At 38.7% G+C, this 17,705-nt stretch overlaps 1 protein-coding gene across 1 annotated transcript, besides 2 other annotated features; it reads left to right on the forward strand.

Annotated features, from left to right (window-relative positions):
- The first annotated feature begins 85 nt into the window (after nt 1-85).
- C2orf69 (chromosome 2 open reading frame 69) lies at nt 86-17,066 on the forward strand. The gene is made up of 2 exons (NM_153689.6): nt 86-564; nt 13,855-17,066. The coding sequence occupies exons 1-2, from the start codon at nt 232-234 to the stop codon at nt 14,677-14,679; spliced, it is 1,158 nt and encodes a 385-aa protein (NP_710156.3). The 5' UTR covers nt 86-231; the 3' UTR covers nt 14,680-17,066.
- Nucleotides 218-407: an enhancer, noted in NCBI's record as "active region_16950". NCBI's record gives its function as "activates an Ori minimal core promoter by ATAC-STARR-seq in GM12878 lymphoblastoid cells {active_cell/tissue: GM12878}" and the evidence as "EXISTENCE:reporter gene assay evidence [ECO:0000049][PMID:35858748]".
- Nucleotides 10,597-11,098: an enhancer, noted in NCBI's record as "H3K4me1 hESC enhancer chr2:200786527-200787028 (GRCh37/hg19 assembly coordinates)". NCBI's record gives its function as "activates a minimal SCP1, AML or CMV promoter by ChIP-STARR-seq in naive H9 embryonic stem cells {active_cell/tissue: H9 hESC(naive)}" and the evidence as "EXISTENCE:reporter gene assay evidence [ECO:0000049][PMID:30033119]".
- Nucleotides 17,067-17,705: the final 639 nt, after the last annotated feature.

A 17,705-nucleotide genomic window follows, 5' to 3' on the forward strand; every position in this document is an offset into this window, starting at 1 on the left:
CCACCGTCTTCTCCGGGATCCCAAGACCGATTTCGCCCACACCCCTCCCTTCCTTTCCTTACGCACGCTGCGCGCGGACGTCGGCCTCTGACGTCGTCGCCTCAGCGCCGGCTCCCGGCCGGGCCGCGGCCGCCGACCGTTGAGCCGCCGGCTGAGCCGCCTGCTGAAGTCCCTCCCTCAGGAACCCCTCCGCCACCCTCCACCTCCGAACCGCTCTCGCGGCGGCGACCCATGTGGGGGTTCAGGCTCCTGCGGTCGCCGCCGTTGCTGCTCCTGCTGCCGCAGCTCGGAATCGGAAACGCCTCGTCCTGCTCTCAGGCCAGAACCATGAACCCGGGCGGCAGCGGCGGCGCGCGATGCTCCCTCTCGGCCGAGGTGCGCCGCCGTCAGTGCCTGCAGCTTTCCACCGTGCCTGGAGCCGATCCGCAGCGCAGCAACGAATTGCTCCTGTTGGCGGCGGCCGGGGAGGGACTGGAGCGGCAGGACCTCCCCGGGGACCCAGCGAAGGAGGAGCCGCAGCCGCCGCCCCAGCATCACGTCCTCTATTTCCCTGGGGATGTGCAGGTAACTCGGGGCCTGCCTGGGTATCTGTTCCTTCCTCTCGTGTATACGTACGCGGTCACTGATTCTTCCCTCGTGGCTGCTGCCTGGTTCCTTTCCTTGCCTGAACACACCCACACATTCACTGAGGGTGGCTCTTCCTCTACTCCACGAAATCCAAAACCGTGCCTTCCACGCCCTTGGCGCCCTTTGTCCATAGAACCCCATGGGGAAGGTGTCCGACGAGGGCTACGATCTCGAAAGAGCCAGCTGTCGGTCCAGGTTTCCAAGAGGCGGAATTTGAGACAGGGAGTGACACGCATCTTGTATATTTATTCTATAATTTGGTTTCTCAGAGGACCGTGTGTGTGTGTTGGGCAGGGGACAGAGCGATGGCTTTCAAATTAAGTTAGCACGTAGTGTTTAGAAAACGGTGGCAGTAATTAAAAACCAAACAAACATTACAAAGGTATGACATCCAGTAACCCTAAAAAAGAGTGGGGATGGGTGGAAGAAAAGGGACAATAATTATTAAGCATGTCAATGTTTTGATGCTCACCTCTTTTGTACTTTTGCTTTTGCATGTTATGTTTATTATTTTATAGCTGCAGGTAAATATCCGTGGTTATGTTGCCCTGAAAACTGGGTCTTAATCTAACGTTGCATTATCTAATATGGTAGCCATTAGCCATATATGGCTATCTGAATTAATTAAAATTAAATAAAACTAAAAATCCAGTTATTCATATTAGCTGCATTTCAAGTGCTCAGTAGCTACAGATGGCTTGCGTGTGCTGTATTGGACAGCACAGATATATAGCATTATCATAGAAAATAATCCATCATCATAGAAAGTTCTAGACAGGTAAAGCTAGACTATAGCTAGGTATGTTTCTCTTTTTTGTTTTTTTGAGACGGAGTCTTGCTTAGTTGCCCAGGCTGGAGTGCAGTGGCGCAGTCTCGACTCACTGCAACCTCCGCCTCCCGGGCTCAAGTGATTCTCGTGCCTCAGCCTCCCGAGTAGCTGGGATTACAGGCATGCGCTACCACACTGAGCTAATTTTTGTATTTTTAGTAGAGATGGGGTTCCACCATGTTGGACAGGCTGGTCTCGAACTTCTGACTTCAAGTGATCTGCCCACCTTGGCCTCTGAAAGTGCTGGGATTATAGGTGTGAGCCACCGCGCCCGGCCTACATGTGTTTCTTATACTATGAAACTACATTAGTTTATTTTCAAAATTGGTGCCTTAAAATGACATACTTAGAAACTGTGCTCTGAGTCAGATAATGATTAAGATATAGATATAGATATATAGATATAGATATAGATATTCTCTTTTTTTTTCCAGTTTTTATTAGCAGTCAACTAAACCAGTTATTTTGAGGGCAAAAGAAAATAATATATATTATTTTATATATATATTATATATAAAATTATATATATTATATATAATATATAATATATTATATATAATATATATTATAATATATATAATATATATTATATAAAATATATTCTATAGAATATATATTCTATTATATAATATATATTCTATTATAATATATATTATATATAATATATATTCTATTATAATATATATTATATATAATATATTCTATTATGATATATATTATATATAATAACATATATTATATATAATATATATTCTATTATATAAAATATATATTATATAAAATATATATTCTATTATATAAAATATATATTATATAAAATATATATTATATTATATAAAATATATATTATACTATATATAAAATATACTATATAATATATATAAAATATATATATATTTTTATAATATGTATTATTTTCTTTTGCCCTCAAAATAATTGACTGGTTTAGTTGACTGCTAATAAAAACTGGAGAAAAAAAAAGAGAATAAAGAAAAAAACAACTACTACTTAGATTTAAGAGAAAAAAAAGCCACTTACTTACTTGGTGCCCTTGTGGCTCAGATTGGGAAAATAACATGTGACATTTCCGACTATGACTGCCAGAATAATTTTGTGGAACAATTACTGCATGCATTCCTAAAATAATGATGATGATAATGATTACATTTATTGAGCACCTCCTAAGTGTTTTTAAAGTGTGCCAGCCAGGATATATAGTACAAGTCTTCAGAGGAAGTCTAAAAAGTCTTACATACAGTTTGAGGCCAGATTGCCTGGGTTTGAACCCTGATTTAGAACTTTTTAGGTATAAAGTCCCTGGACAATTGTTACATCTCTCTGTGTTTCAGCTACTTCAACTACAAAATAAGAATAATAGTTTATAAGGTGTCAATGGAGATTAAATGTGTGGATACTAAATGAGTTCTGGTCCCTTCTTATCTCTCTGGTGACTTTAAAAATTATTGGAGTATCCTAGTCGTCTGTTCTTCCATGTTTCCTCTGTCTGTGTTCACTCCCTTCAGTCTCATGGCTTTACTCACTACCTGTACACTGACACCCCTCAACATTTATGTATCTAGCCTACACATATTCCCCAAACTTTAGGCCAACCAATTATATGCACGATTATTTCCTTTTGGATATTTAATAGATATCCTAAACCTAAAATCTCTGGATCTTTACCCCTATGCAGTCTTCCTCATGTCATTAATGGAAACTTTACCTTCTTAGTTGCTCAAGATAGAAATCTTGAAGTCATCCATTAGAACTGTCTTTCATACCTCATTTCATCAAATCTAGTGGTTTTACCTTTTCAGTGTATCTAAAGTAATCAGAATAACCATTGAAAAATGTAAGTCAAATCATTCCACGTCTGCTCAAAACTGTGCAGTCACTTCCCATGTCACTCAGAGTAAGAGCCAGAGTCCTTCCTGTTAATATCCTGTCCTGCAAGGCTTTTCATTATTTCTATCTTTTCCCACCCTGTTACCTATCTGACTTGGTCTCCTTTTTCTGTTTACTCTTCTCCAGCCTCTCTGGCTTTCTTGGTGTTGCTCAAACATGTCAGGCACACTATACCTAAAAAGCTTTCTGTATACTGCCTGGAACAGCCTTCCAAGTAGATGACTTGTAGGTTTATTACCTCACCTCTTCCAGGTCTGCTCAAGACTCTGCCTCTCTGAGGCCTTTTCTGACCATCCTGTTTAATAATCATAGTATATATAGGCTTCCTATCAACTTTTCTTCTTTATTATTACCCATTGCATTTACTATACTAGTTTTCGTTTTGAGTTTTGTTTGCCTTCTGCCACTAAAATATAAGCTTACGTTTGTTCACCGATATAATCTGCGATGCTTGAGAGTTGCATGTTTTAGGTGTGCAGTAGATGACTTGTATAAATGAGTATTTTTTAATTGCTTTGAACAATGCATGAAATACTTGAAATGTGTTGGCTATTATATAAAATGCTGTTAGGCTGATTTCTTCATCTGTATTTTTGTACTTGATTCTTTTGAGCCTAATATCTATCCTTATGAACTTTTCGCTGCTGAGTACAGCCCATCTTTTTATTGTGTTGATGCTTTTAGAATGCCTATAGACATTCTATTTTCTTTATTTTCTTTTATTACTATTTTTTAGAGAGACAGGGTCTCACTATGTTGCCCACTCCTGTGTTCAAGTGATCCTCCTGCCTCAGCCTTTTAAAGTGTTGGGATTACAAGCATGAGCCACCACACCTCGCTGAGCATTCTTGTTATAGCTTTATTCTTAATTTGAAGAAATATTGAACAGAATAGGGCTAAACAGAATTTTGTAAGATAGTATTAGAAGCTTTGCCTATCTTTTTTTTTTTTTCCTTGAGATGGAGTCTTGCTCTGTTGCCCAGGCTGGAGTGCAGTGGCGTGATCTTGGCTTACTGCAACCTCCACCTCCCAGGCTCAAGCGATTCTCCTGCCTCAGCCTCCTGAGTAGCTGGGACTACAGGAGCATGCCACCACGCCTGGCTAATTTTTCTTTTTTTTTGTATTTTTAGTAGAGATGGGGTTTCACCATGTTGACCAGGCTGGTCTCAAACTCCTGACCTCAGGTGATCCTCCCACCTCAGCCTCCCAAAGTGCTGGGATTATAGATGTGAGCCACCGCACCTGGCCTGAAGCTTCACCTATCTTGATACTGTTTCATTATTTGGTGTTTGTTAATTGGAACTGGTTTTTCATATGATTTTAAGTCCTCTTAATTCCTATTAACTTCTTGATGTTCCTTTTGCAGTCATGTTTTGTTGTATGTCCTTTTTAAAAATTCTGTACTTTTCCTTTATCATTTGAATTACAAGAAAGCTAAGGCCATATATATTAGTCCATTCTCACACTGCTAATAAAGACATACCCGAGGCTGGGTAATTTATAAAGGAAAGAGGTCTAATTGAATCAGTTCCACAGGGCTGGGAGGCCTCAGGAGACTTACAATCATGGCAGAAGGGGAAGCAAATGTGTCCTTCTTCACATGGCAAGAGGAGGGAGAAGAATGAGACCGAAGGTGGGGAGGCCCCTTGTAAAACCATCTCATGAGAACTCACTCAGTATTATGAGAACAGCATGAAGGTAACCTGCCCCATGATTCAGTTACCTCCCACTGGGTCCCTCTCACAACACATGGGGATTATGGGAACTACAATTCAAGATGAGATTTGGATGGGGACACAGCCAAACCATATCATTCCACCCCTAGCCCCTCCCAAATTTCATGTCCTTACATTTCAAAACATAACCATGCCCTTCCAACAGTTCCCCAAAGTCTTAACTCATTGTAGCATTAACTCAAAAGTCTAAGTCCAAGTTTCATCTGAGACAAGGCAAGTCCCTTCCACCTATGAGCCTGTAAAATCAAAAGCAAGTTAGTTACTTCCTAGATACAATGGGGATACAGGCATTGGGTAAATACAGCCATTCCAAATGGGAGAAATGGACCAAAACAAAGGGGCTACAGGCCCCATGCAGGTCCGAAATCCAATAGGACAGTCATTAAACCTTAAAGTTCCAAAATGATCTCCTTTAACTCCATGTCTCATATCTAGGTCACACTGATGCAAGAGGTGGACTCCTGTGGCTTTGCAGGGTACAGCCCCCCTCCAGGCTGCCTTCATGGCTGGTGTTGAGTATCTGCAGCTTTTCCAGGCACACGGTGCAAGCTGTTGGTTTATCTACTATTCTGGGGTCTGGTTGATGGTGGCCCTTTTCTCACAGCTCCACTAGGCAGTGCCCCAGTAGGGAAGTGTAGAGCCCCACATTTCTTTTCCATACTGCCCTAGCAGCAAACTTCTGCCTGGACATCCAGGTGTTTTCATACATCCTCTGAAATCTAGGCAGAGGTTCCCCAACCTCAATTCCTTACTTTTATGCACCCACAGGCCCAACATCACATGTAAGCTGCCAAGGCTTGGGCTTGCACACTCTGAAGCAACAGCCTGAGCTATCCGTTGGCCCATTTTAGCCACGGTGGGACACAGGGCACCAAGTTTCAAGACTGCACAAAGCAGCGAGGGCCTGGGCCCAGCCCACAAAACCATTTTTTCCTCTTAGGCCTCTGGGCCTGTGATGGTAGGGGCTGCCCTGAAGATCTGTGACATGCCCTGGAGACATTTTTCCCATTATCTTGGTGATGAACATTTGGCTCCTCGTTACTTATGCAAGTTTCTGCAGGCTGCTTGAAATTCTCCTCAGAAAATGGGTTTTTCTTTTTTTATAGCATCGTCAGGTTGCAAATTTTCCAAACTTTTATGTGCTACTTCCCATTTACATATAAGTTCCAATTTCAAACCATCCCTCTCAAGGTCAAAGTTCCACAGATCTCTGGGGCAGGGGCAGAATGTTGCCAGTGTCTTTGCTAAACCATAACAAGAGTGACCTTTGCTTCAGTTCTAAAAAGTTTATTATCTCTGTCTGAGACCAGTGCAGCCTAGACTTCATTATCCAAATCACTATCAGCATTTTGGTCAAAGCCATTCAACAAGTCTCTAGGAAGTTCCAAACTTTCCCACATTTTCCTGTTTTCTTCTGAGCCCTACAGACTGTTCCAACCTCTGCCTGTTACCCAGCTCCAAAGTTGCTTCCACATTTTTGGGTATCCTTATAGCAGCACCCCACTCTCTGCAGTACCAATTTACTGTATTAGTCCATTCTCATGCTGCTAATAGAGACATACCCAAGACTAGGTAATTTATAAAGCAAAGAGGTTTAATTGGCTCACAGTTTCACAGGGCTGGGGGTGCCTCTGAAAACTTACAGTCATGGTGGAAGGGGAAGCAAACATGCCCTTCTTCATATGGTGGTAGGAAAGAGAATGAGAGCAAAGAGGGGGATGAGCCCCTTATAAAACCATCTTGTAAAAACTCACTGTCACCAGAACAGCAGGAGGGTAACCGCCCCATGATTCAATTACCTTCCATCGGGTCCCTCCCATGTGGGGATTATGGGAACTACAATTCAAGATGAGATTTTGGTGGGGACACAACCAAACCATATATCCATAGTATTTTGTATTTCTTTAGGTACCTATGTTTTTCTCATCTAGCAATAATGATTTTGAAGGGTGATCAAGATTTTTTTAAAGTAGGTGCTTTCCATTTTGAGTTATCTTTTTAAAGCCTTGGGTATATAATTATATGTATCCCCTTTATTTTACTGTATTTTAATTTATTTATTATCATTATATTTTCAGACGGAGTCTTGCTCTGTTGCCCAGGCTGAAGTGCAGTGGTACAATCTCGGCTCACTGCAACCTCCGTCTCCCGGGTTCAAGCAATTCTTGTGCCTCAGCCTCCTGAGTAGCTGGGATTACAGGTGTGTGCCACCACGCCTGGGTAATTTTTGTATTTTTAGTAGAGACGGGGTTTCACCATGTTGGTCAGGCTGCTCTCGAACTCCTGACCTCAAGTGATCTGCCTGCGTGGGCCTCCCAAAGTGCTGGGATTACAGGTGTGAGCCACTGTGCCCGGCCCTTGTATTTTAAGTAAGAGTACAATTTTGTGAATTTTGACAAGTGTTGGAATTATGTAACCACCAAAATCATGTTGTAGAGTATCTCCATTATCCTAAAAAGTACCTCCGTGCTCCTTTATGGTCAGTTTTCTTTTCCCAACCACTAACCTGCTTTCTTTCACTATGGTTTTTGCTTTTTCTAGAATTTTGTTAATTTGTCATATAGTATGTAGTCTTTTGTGTGTGACTGTTTCACTATTTAATACTTTTGAAATTCATCCATATTGTTACCTGTATCTGTAGTTTTTTTCATTGTTCTTTTTTGTTGAGACAGGGTCTAGCTCTGTCAACTAGGCTGAAATGCAGTGGCGTGAACATGGCTCACTGCAGCCTCAACCTCCCAGGCTCAAGCGATCCTCCTACCTTAGCCTCTCAAGTAGCTGGGACTTACAGGCATGCACAATCACACCTGGCTAATTTTTAAAATTTTTCGTAGAAACGAGGGTCTCATTAGGTTGCCTAGGCTGGTCTCAAACCCCGGGGGTTAAGTGATCCTCCTGCCTTGGCCTCCCAAAGAGCTGGGATTGCAGGCGTGAGCCACTGTGCCCAGCCAGTAGTCTGTTCCTTTTATTTACAGAGTAGTATTCTATGTATGGATATATACTTTGTTTATCCATTCAGCAGTTCATAAACATTTGAGTTATTTCCAGTTTTAACTCTTTAAAAGTTTTGCTTTCCTAAAGGTTAGGATCTATAGACGATCATGCCCTAAGTGGTGTCTCCTGGTCATGTACCTTGGAGCTTCCTGTGCTTTATCAGGCAGCTCTCTTAGGCTGGACCCTGTTCTGGTCATTCTAGCCTGCTTACTTCAGATGTGCACTTTATGTTTATAATAAACAGAAATTTATTTAGCTCATGATTCTGGAGGTTAGGAGGGGCCTACATCTGGTGAGGGCCTTCTTGCCCTGTCATCTCATGGTGGAAGGCAGAAGGGCAAGAGAGCACTAGGGAGTGGAGGAGGGGAAGGAGAGGCCAAATTCATCCTTTTATCAAGAACCATTAATCCATTCATGAGGGCAGAGCCCTTGTGACCTAATCACCTCTTAAAGATCCCACCTCTAATCATAGTTGCTTTAGGGATTAAGTTTACAAAACATGAACTTTGGCGGACACATTCAAACCGTAGCAGAAGTTCACTCTGCTCTAAGGGCAGAACACTTAGTTTGAATCTATCATTTGTCTACCAACTCTTAGAGACACATGTCAAGATTTCCTAAAAATCCATTGTTCGTTACTTCAATAGCAGTTTGGAGTGGGTCTCTGAGTTTTTGCAGGTCAGCAAGCATCTAACTGGAGTAGTAGGCATTCTTTAAACTCTCAAGAGATTCTCTTGTGGCCTGCCTCACTGGGGATGAGAAGCATGGCCTTTCACCCCTTACCTCTTATGGGGATAGTAGTGCATTGCATTCCCAACTAGGATGAAAACTCTCTTGAAAGAAATCTCTCTCTTTCCTTAGTCTTTAACCTTTTCTGTAGATTGGCCGTGGGTAACAGCCTCAGTTGCAGAACCAGTTTGGGCTACCTCTTAGTAACTCCTAGAGGGGTGTCTGGTGCCTCTTTTTAGAATATGAAAGTGTGTTTCCATTGTTCCCAGATCTGGGCTTTGACACACAGTAATGATTCCATCTTTACATTTTACTGCATACAGTTCCTTAGAATAAGCATTCTCCTTCCTCTAATCGTGGAACCTGGGGCTAATCAAGGAAAATATCATGTTTCTAGATTTAGAGCACCTTCTATGTGGTAGGACTAAACTGAGAGTCATAAAATCTAGGTTCATTTTGGCTCATTAACTAAATAAATATATAAATAACTGTAGTTTCCAGGACCTCAGGTTCCTTAACTATAAAAAGGATTTAGATGAGCCCTTCGAGATGTAAGTGCCTATGATTTCATGATAATTGGATATATCATTAATTATAAAATAATTGTGCAGAAAGCAATAGCAGAATCCATAAAAAGTCAAATGATGGGCCAGGCGCGGTGGCTCATGCCTGTAATCCCAGCACTTTGGGAGACCGAAGCGGGTGGATCACGAGGTCAGGAGATGGAGACCATCCTGGCTAACATGGTGAAACCCCATCTCTACTAAAAATACAAAAAATTAGCCGGGCATGGTGGCGCGCGCCTGTAGTCCCAGCTACTCGGGAGGCTGAGGCAGGAGAATGGCATGAACCCGGGAGGCAGAGGTTGCAGTGAGCCGAGATCTTGCCACTGCACTCCAGCCTGGGGGACAGAGCCTGAGACTCTCAAAAAAAAAAAAAAAAAAAAAGTCACTTGTTGGCCTTCTAGGAATTAGTTTTTTTTTTTTTTTTTTTTTTTGAGGTGGAGTCTTGCTCTGTTACCCAGGATGGAGTGCAGTGGCGCGGTCTTGGCTCACTGCAACCTCCACCTCCTGGGTTCAAGCGATTCTTCTGCCTCAGCCTCCTGAGTAGCTGTGACTACAGGCACGCGCCACCATGCCTGGCTAATTTTTGTATTTTTAGTAGAGACGGGGTTTCACCATGTTGGCCAGGATGGTCTCCCATCTCCTGACCTCGTGATCCGCCTGGCTCGGCCTCCCAAAGTGCTGGGATTACAGACGTGAGCTACTGTGCCCGGCCTGGGAATTAGTATTTTTAACATATATGGCAAACTACTAATATTAGTGAAATGTAACTTAGGAAGGAATTGAACATCATAGTGGGAAAATTATCACAGGACATGAACAGAAAATTAACAAAAGAAAAATGAAAACTGCCAGTTAACAATGTTTAACCTGATTGGGAATCAAAACATGCAAATTAAATCAAAAGTAAGATATCATTTTATCATAGTAGCGAGGATTTTAAAAAATTGATGCTAATAGCCGTCAGCATTAAGAATGGGTAAAGATGTGGGAAAATAAGCACTCTTTTATGTTTCCAGTGAAAGTGTAAATTGGTATTAACCTTAGATGTCTAACAATTATGATGCAAATCTGTATTGATATGGAACCATGCCTATAATATATTTTTAAGTGAAAACTATGTATAAGCTTATTGCTTGTTGGGGGAGAAGAATGCTTCCTTGTATACATACTTGTATATGTGTATGCTAGAGAAAACGACTGCTAGACATCAGAATTTTAATGATTATTTTTAATTGGTTATATGGATGATTTTTCTATCTTACCTGTACCTTTGTATATAGAATTTTTGTAGTATTTACTAGTTTTTATTTTTAAATAGAGAAAATGTGCATGTTGCTAAAAGTTCAGATTATTTACGGTTTTACATTGAAAAGTAATTCTTTCACCCCATTCCCTCCAGTTGCCCATTTCCCTTCCCCAAGGCTGCCACTGTTATTTTTATATATATATATATATATATATGCTTCCAGAGACATTCTATACTTATGTGTTTTTTTCCTTATTCTTTTTCTCTTTTTTTTGAGGCAAGGTCTAACTCTATTGTCAAGGCTGCAGTGCAGTGGCAAAATCTCAGCTCACAGCAACCTCCACCTCCTGGGCTCAAGCCATCTTCCCACTTCAGCCTCCCGAGTAGCTGGGACTACAGGGGCACACCACCACACCCTGCCAATTTTTGTTGTTGTTGTTTTTTGTAGAGACAGGATTTCACATGTTGCTCACGCTGGTCTCAAACTCAAGCGGTTTGCCTGCCTCTGCCGCCCAAAGTGCTGAGATTATAGGCGTGAACCGCCGCCCCCAGCCTCAGGCTTTTTTTAAAAATACAAATGGTTGCATAGTGTACTGGATTTTTTAGTCCTTATTTTACAACCCATAGGAGTACTCATAGAGCTGCCTCATTCTTTTGAAGCAGAAATAAATATCCTTATACATATTTATTTATGCATATATGTAAGTATATCAATGAGATAAATTTCTCGAAGAATTACTAAGTCAAAAGGAAGGTGTATTTAAAACTGATAGATACTGTATATCACCATTAGAAATAAGGAAAACTCACACCATTTATCTTATTTTTCTCTCACCTTCTATATCCAATCCATTTGCAAATCCTGTTGACTCTAACTCCAAAATAAATTCAGGACTTGACCACTTCTACTCTGATTCAACCCACCTTCTCTTATCAGGATTATATTTCAGTAGCCTTTTAACGGTCTCCTTGCATCAGCTATTGCCCCTTCATTATTAGGAGCCAGAGTAATATTTTCAAAGCATATATCAGCCCTTGGCTCCAGATCCTTTCAGAGCAAAAGCCGAAGTCTTTGTGGTGTCTTAAAAAGCCTGATCAGCACCTCTCCTTTTCCCCAAACCATCTCTCTGCCCCCCTTTGTGATCACATTTGCTACTGTTGACTCCTCTGGAGCCACACTGACCTCATTGCTGTGTCTGGGTTATGTCCGGCAAGCTCCCACCTCAGGGCGTTTTGCAGTTACAGTTCCTTCTGCCTGAAATACCCACGTGGTTCACTCTCTGAGTTCCTTCAGGTCCTTTCAAACTATCACTTTATTGGAGAAGCCTTTCCTGACCATTCTGTGTTAAGTAATAATTTTCCACCTTGTATTCCTTTTCTCCTGCTTTATTATGTTCCGTTGTACTTACCAACATCTAATATATATATTTTTTGAAATGTTTCCAAGCTATAAGTCTAATATGTTTTGAACTGTCCAGTATCGTAGCCACTAATCACTTGTGGCTATTGCCTACTTAAAATGTTGTTAGTCTACTTGAGGAACTAAATTTAATAGAGGAACTATATTTGTAACTGTATTTAATTTCGGTTAATTTAAATGTATATTAAATAACGGATACCCAGTTCAGTTAATGGAAAACTTTTAAGTATATTTGGAACAAGTTGGGTATGTGAGTTTACTTTTTCAGCTGTAAATTTTATGAGATTCAAATTCAGATCAAGTATTTCTGATGAAAATTTAGCATCCAAATTGAGATGTACTATAAGTACGAAATACACACTGGATTTCAAAGACTTAGGAAGGAAAAAAGAATGTTAAGAATCCTCCAGTAATTTTTAATATTGGTTACATGTTGAGATTGTGATATTTTGGATATATTTAGCTCAAAAAAGAAATGATTAAAATTAGTTTCACCTGTTAACTTTTTACTTTTTAAAATCTGGCACTTGAAAATTTTAAATGTGGCTCATGTTTTATTTCTGTTGGACAGTGCTGCTCTATTTATTTGTGGAGTTGTTTATTGTGTATCTCTGCAGTAGAATGTGAGCTCCATGTGAACAAGGGTTTAGTCTGTTTTGCTCCCTGCCCAACTGGTAGGTATCCAGTAAATTTTATAGAACAAATGAATAAATTTGAATGAATCACCTCCCTTTTAAAAAAAAGTCAGTATGAGTAAAATTAAAAGGAAGACAATTTATATGCACATCCTAGGACCTAAACAAAAAGTTGTGGTTAGTATATATAGAATGCTTATAAATAAGGTGTAAATACAAAAGGGCAAAGGAGGCTGGGTATGGTGACTCATGCCTATAATACCAATACTTTGGAAGAATGAGGTAGGAGGATGGTTTAGCCCAGGAGTTTGAGACCAGCCTGTGCAACAAAGTGAGACCTTCTCTCTACAAAGAATAAAAACGTTAGCCACAAGTGATGATATGCACCTGTGGTCCCAGCTACTCCGGAGGCTGAGGAGGGAGGATTGCTTGAGCCTGATAGGTCAAGGCTGCAGTGAGCCATAATCATGCCACTGCACTCCAGCCTGGATGACAGAGATCCTGTCTCACACAGAAAATGGGGAATGAGGGGCAAAGGATATGAATAGGCAAGAGTAGAAATCCAGACTTAAATTACAAATATTCTTTGACCCAGTTTTTCCATATCTAGGAATTTAAGGATATAATCACAGATGTGTACAAAGAGTTTTCTATAATGTTTATTGCAGCCTTGTGTATAATACTAAATCTGAAATTGAACATAGTGTTCAGGTTGCTAGAGAAATCCAAAGAGGGAGGGGTATAGAATGGCAACTTAGGGAAATATTTTAAGATTCTGTGTTGGTCAAAAAGTCTATCTAGTGAACCAAATTTATATTTTCAGTTGATGTGTTAGGAAAATTGATTATATGTATATACTAAATAAAATTTGTTAAACATACCTATAACCCTTCAAAATTAAATTTTTAAAAACTTTTTACTGTTTCATGTAGGTATAACTTACTTCCTTGTCTCTTGATAGATTTCAGGCTTAAACTGAAGAAGTAATTGGTTCAAAAATCTTATTACTAGAAAGTAATGACAAATTTATAGTTTTCATTTCTAGTGTACATTAACCATAGGTCATTGTAACATCCCTTCTCCACAATAAAAATGGAAACTTATTTTGTGGAAATCATTTTATGTAAATATGTATTTAATACTTATTTCATCTTTCTTACCTTTCAGAATTACCATGAAATTATGACTCGTCATCCTGAGAATTATCAATGGGAAAACTGGAGTCTAGAAAATGTTGCTACCATTTTAGCCCACCGGTTCCCCAATAGTTATATTTGGGTGATAAAATGTTCCCGAATGCATTTGCACAAATTCAGCTGCTATGACAATTTTGTGAAAAGTAACATGTTTGGTGCCCCAGAACACAATACTGACTTTGGAGCTTTTAAGCACCTTTATATGTTATTAGTTAATGCTTTTAATTTAAGTCAGAATAGTTTATCAAAGAAAAGTTTGAATGTTTGGAATAAGGACTCCATAGCATCTAACTGTAGATCCAGTCCTTCTCATACTACGAATGGTTGCCAGGGAGAAAAAGTGAGGACCTGTGAAAAATCTGATGAGTCTGCCATGAGTTTTTATCCACCATCACTAAATGACGCATCTTTTACTTTGATTGGATTCAGTAAAGGTTGTGTTGTTTTGAATCAGTTGCTTTTTGAATTGAAAGAAGCCAAGAAAGACAAGAACATAGATGCTTTTATCAAAAGCATAAGAACAATGTATTGGCTGGATGGTGGTCATTCTGGAGGAAGCAATACTTGGGTTACTTATCCAGAAGTCTTGAAAGAATTTGCACAAACAGGAATTATCGTTCACACTCATGTAACACCTTACCAAGTACGTGATCCAATGAGATCTTGGATTGGAAAGGAGCACAAGAAATTTGTTCAGATACTTGGGGATCTTGGTATGCAGGTGACTAGCCAAATTCATTTTACAAAGGAAGCTCCTTCCATAGAGAATCACTTCAGGGTTCATGAAGTATTTTGAGATTACAGGTATATTAATGAACTTGTTCAGTGGAAGAACATAAGCACTTTTGAGTGTTATAAATTCAGATAATGGGATGTAATTCATAGCTGCATTGTCAGTTTTGGGGTATGGGGGGAAGCACACATTCCTAAAATGTGAGTGTAATGTGCAATAGTATTTTTTGCTTGTGAATGTGAGCAGTTATTAATTTGGATTGAGTTAGAATTAGTTAATTTGAAATCTAACAAGGTGGTTTGTAATAATGCTGAGGAGATATAAGACCCTTAAAATGAAAGTTACAACATTGTTCTTATAAAAGGTAACTAAAATTGTTACTGTTGGAAATAACTGATTTTCTGAGTAATGTTTTAAACTAATTTGGTGACATTTTAACAGTAATTAGCTATTTTGAGTGGAAATATTTTCATTTCTCTTCAAACAAAAGCAAAGGTACGATGCTGTTTTCTATCATTTTGGAATAACTGCACCCTGCCTTTTGTGTTTTTGTAAACTCCTTGACTCATTCTTTCATGTGTCACCAAGTACTTTTCTCATGAGAGTCAACATATATTTGTTTCCAAATGTCCACAAGTGTACAATAGTGTAAAGGTGGTTTTTAAAAACATAGCCAGGTGTGGTGGCACGTGCCTTTAGTTCCAGCTACTCAGGAGGCTAAGGCAGGAGGATTGCTTGAGCCCAGGCTGTGTGGTTCACCATAATTGTGTTTGTGACTAGCTACTGCACTCCAACCTGGGCAACATAGTGGGACTTCATCTCTAAAACAAAACAAAACAAAATTACACTTAAGCACTATTGTTTAATTTTTAATTGTCAGTTTATCATTATTTTGGGTAAGACATTCTGGGGTTTCTTGAATCTTGTCCAAAAACCAGTTGTTTTGGAAAATTGCTTTAAATTGAGCATATTTATGTATATTGGATAAAAATGTACTACAGAGCAAATTTCAAATTTTTCATTATATCAGTCTTTTTGAAAGGATCAACTTGGATAAAATAAATATATAATGCTCTATTTGTTAGAGCTCTATTAAAAAGGAAACAGATTCCATAGATCTAAGTCAATGTTTCTCCAGAAGCATGATTTTGTCTGCCAAAAGAAAATAGCTCTCTTTGGCCAAAATGCAAAATTACATTGCTATAAGAAAAGTTACAAGGGAAAGTTTGAAGACACAAATGATTTAATTTTGGCTCAAAAACTGAATTTGCTTAACACTGCTACATAATTTGGGTGAAGTTTCCTTCTGCCCGTTTTTCTTGACCTAGATAAATACACTTTGAGAAATCCAGATCTAATAAATGTCAACCAACATTGACATTGTAATTGGGTGATTACAATAAAAGGTGAGCAGTTTGTTGTTTATTAATAATTAGCTTTTGCAGGTAATGAAATAGCAGGGAAGTAACATGCTGCTTTAGGACTAAAAAAAAAAAAAAAAAAAAGACACTGAAGCTTAATACCTTAATGACCCAGAAGACCTAGATTTATAAAGCCATATAGAATAAAAATGTTAATTTCTTGGTTTCTTCCCAGAATTATATTTTAATGACTCCATAAATACATTCCAAATATTCAGAGATTCATGAGAAAGGATTCTTAACAAATGTTTAAAAATAACATTTCTTTTTGGTGTTTTAACACTTAATTTTATAAACTGCAGAACAGCATCTCTAAATGGCTTTTTTTTTTTTTTTAAAGACAAAGTAGTATTATGTTGCTTCAGTTTCTTTAAATACCTCGTTTCTTTTGAGACCAAAAATTCCCATCAAGGAAATAAATCAGCCTGATTTTAACATTTTACATATTACATTGCCTTTAAGCACTATGATTGGATGGCTTTTTTTCTATTTGTTTAATAATCCTTGGCTAAATTCACATGTATCTAAAGGAAAATAGCTGAGTTACTGAATTCTATAAGGGGAAGAAAAAGCATTTATTTTCACATGATTAACTGAAATGGAAAAGTAAGACATTTAGCAGAATAATTCATTTAAAAATAATTTTAAAAAATCAGACATATTTAAAAATCTAGGTTGTCTATCCAGTATGTGAATGCTTAATTATAATTGTTACATGTTGAATGGGTATTAAGAGTAAGTCACCAGGTACACAAAACTGCCATCATAGCAAAATGAGACAGTGTTGAAAAGACAAAATATTTTCTGGAATGAAAATATATTCAAGTTGATCCATATTCAGATGTTTTCTGTTTAATACTTCAGATTGGTCCTTTGTCCACATTTGTTTAAAACTTATTGTAATGTTAATTTACACTTTTGGATTGTGCCTTTGTCATGAGTTGAGAAAAGTAGTCCTACAAATAATGTGAAAGTTGTTACCACCACAGCATGAATGTATAATTGTATTAAAATTGATCATCCACAGAAGTTTGTTTGGATGTGCTTTATATTTATTAGCATTGTTAAAACTTCAGATTATTTATAAAGGAAGCCATTTCTCCACCCTGCTAAGTTGGGTTTGTATACAGTAAGTCCTCACTTAACATATCAGTAGGTTCTTGGAAACTGAGACTTGAAGCAAACTGATATAACAAAACCAATTTTTTTCTCATCATTGTTTTAACTAGATGACAACGAACAAAACGTTGAGGACCTGCTGTTTGTCCTTTTGTTTAAAGTCACAGATTCTAAGAACCTATGCACATTAAGTGAGGACTTACTGTGCATCTTTTCATTATCTTCCATGTCTTTTCAAATGAGCAACTTTGAACCTTTTTTGTACAAATACATACCTTCTCCCTTTAAAATTGCTCCATAAAAATTTGCACTATATCCACTTCTTTTATTGGATTTCATAGAGAACAAAACCTCTAACAAGTTCATCCTTTTCTCTTTTCTGTGCTAATCATCTCAGGGATTTGTAGTCCTTTAGCTTCTTACAAGACTTGGTTAGGGTATGGTGTAATCTATTTTTCATTTCATTCATGTACTATCTAAGTAACCACCAAGGTCAAGGAGGGTCTAGGCAATGAGGATATAGGACAGACAATACAAAGTCCCAGCATG

This window comes from Homo sapiens, chromosome 2 (assembly GCF_000001405.40).
Source record: "Homo sapiens chromosome 2, GRCh38.p14 Primary Assembly".
Classification (NCBI taxonomy): Eukaryota; Metazoa; Chordata; class Mammalia; order Primates; family Hominidae; genus Homo; species Homo sapiens.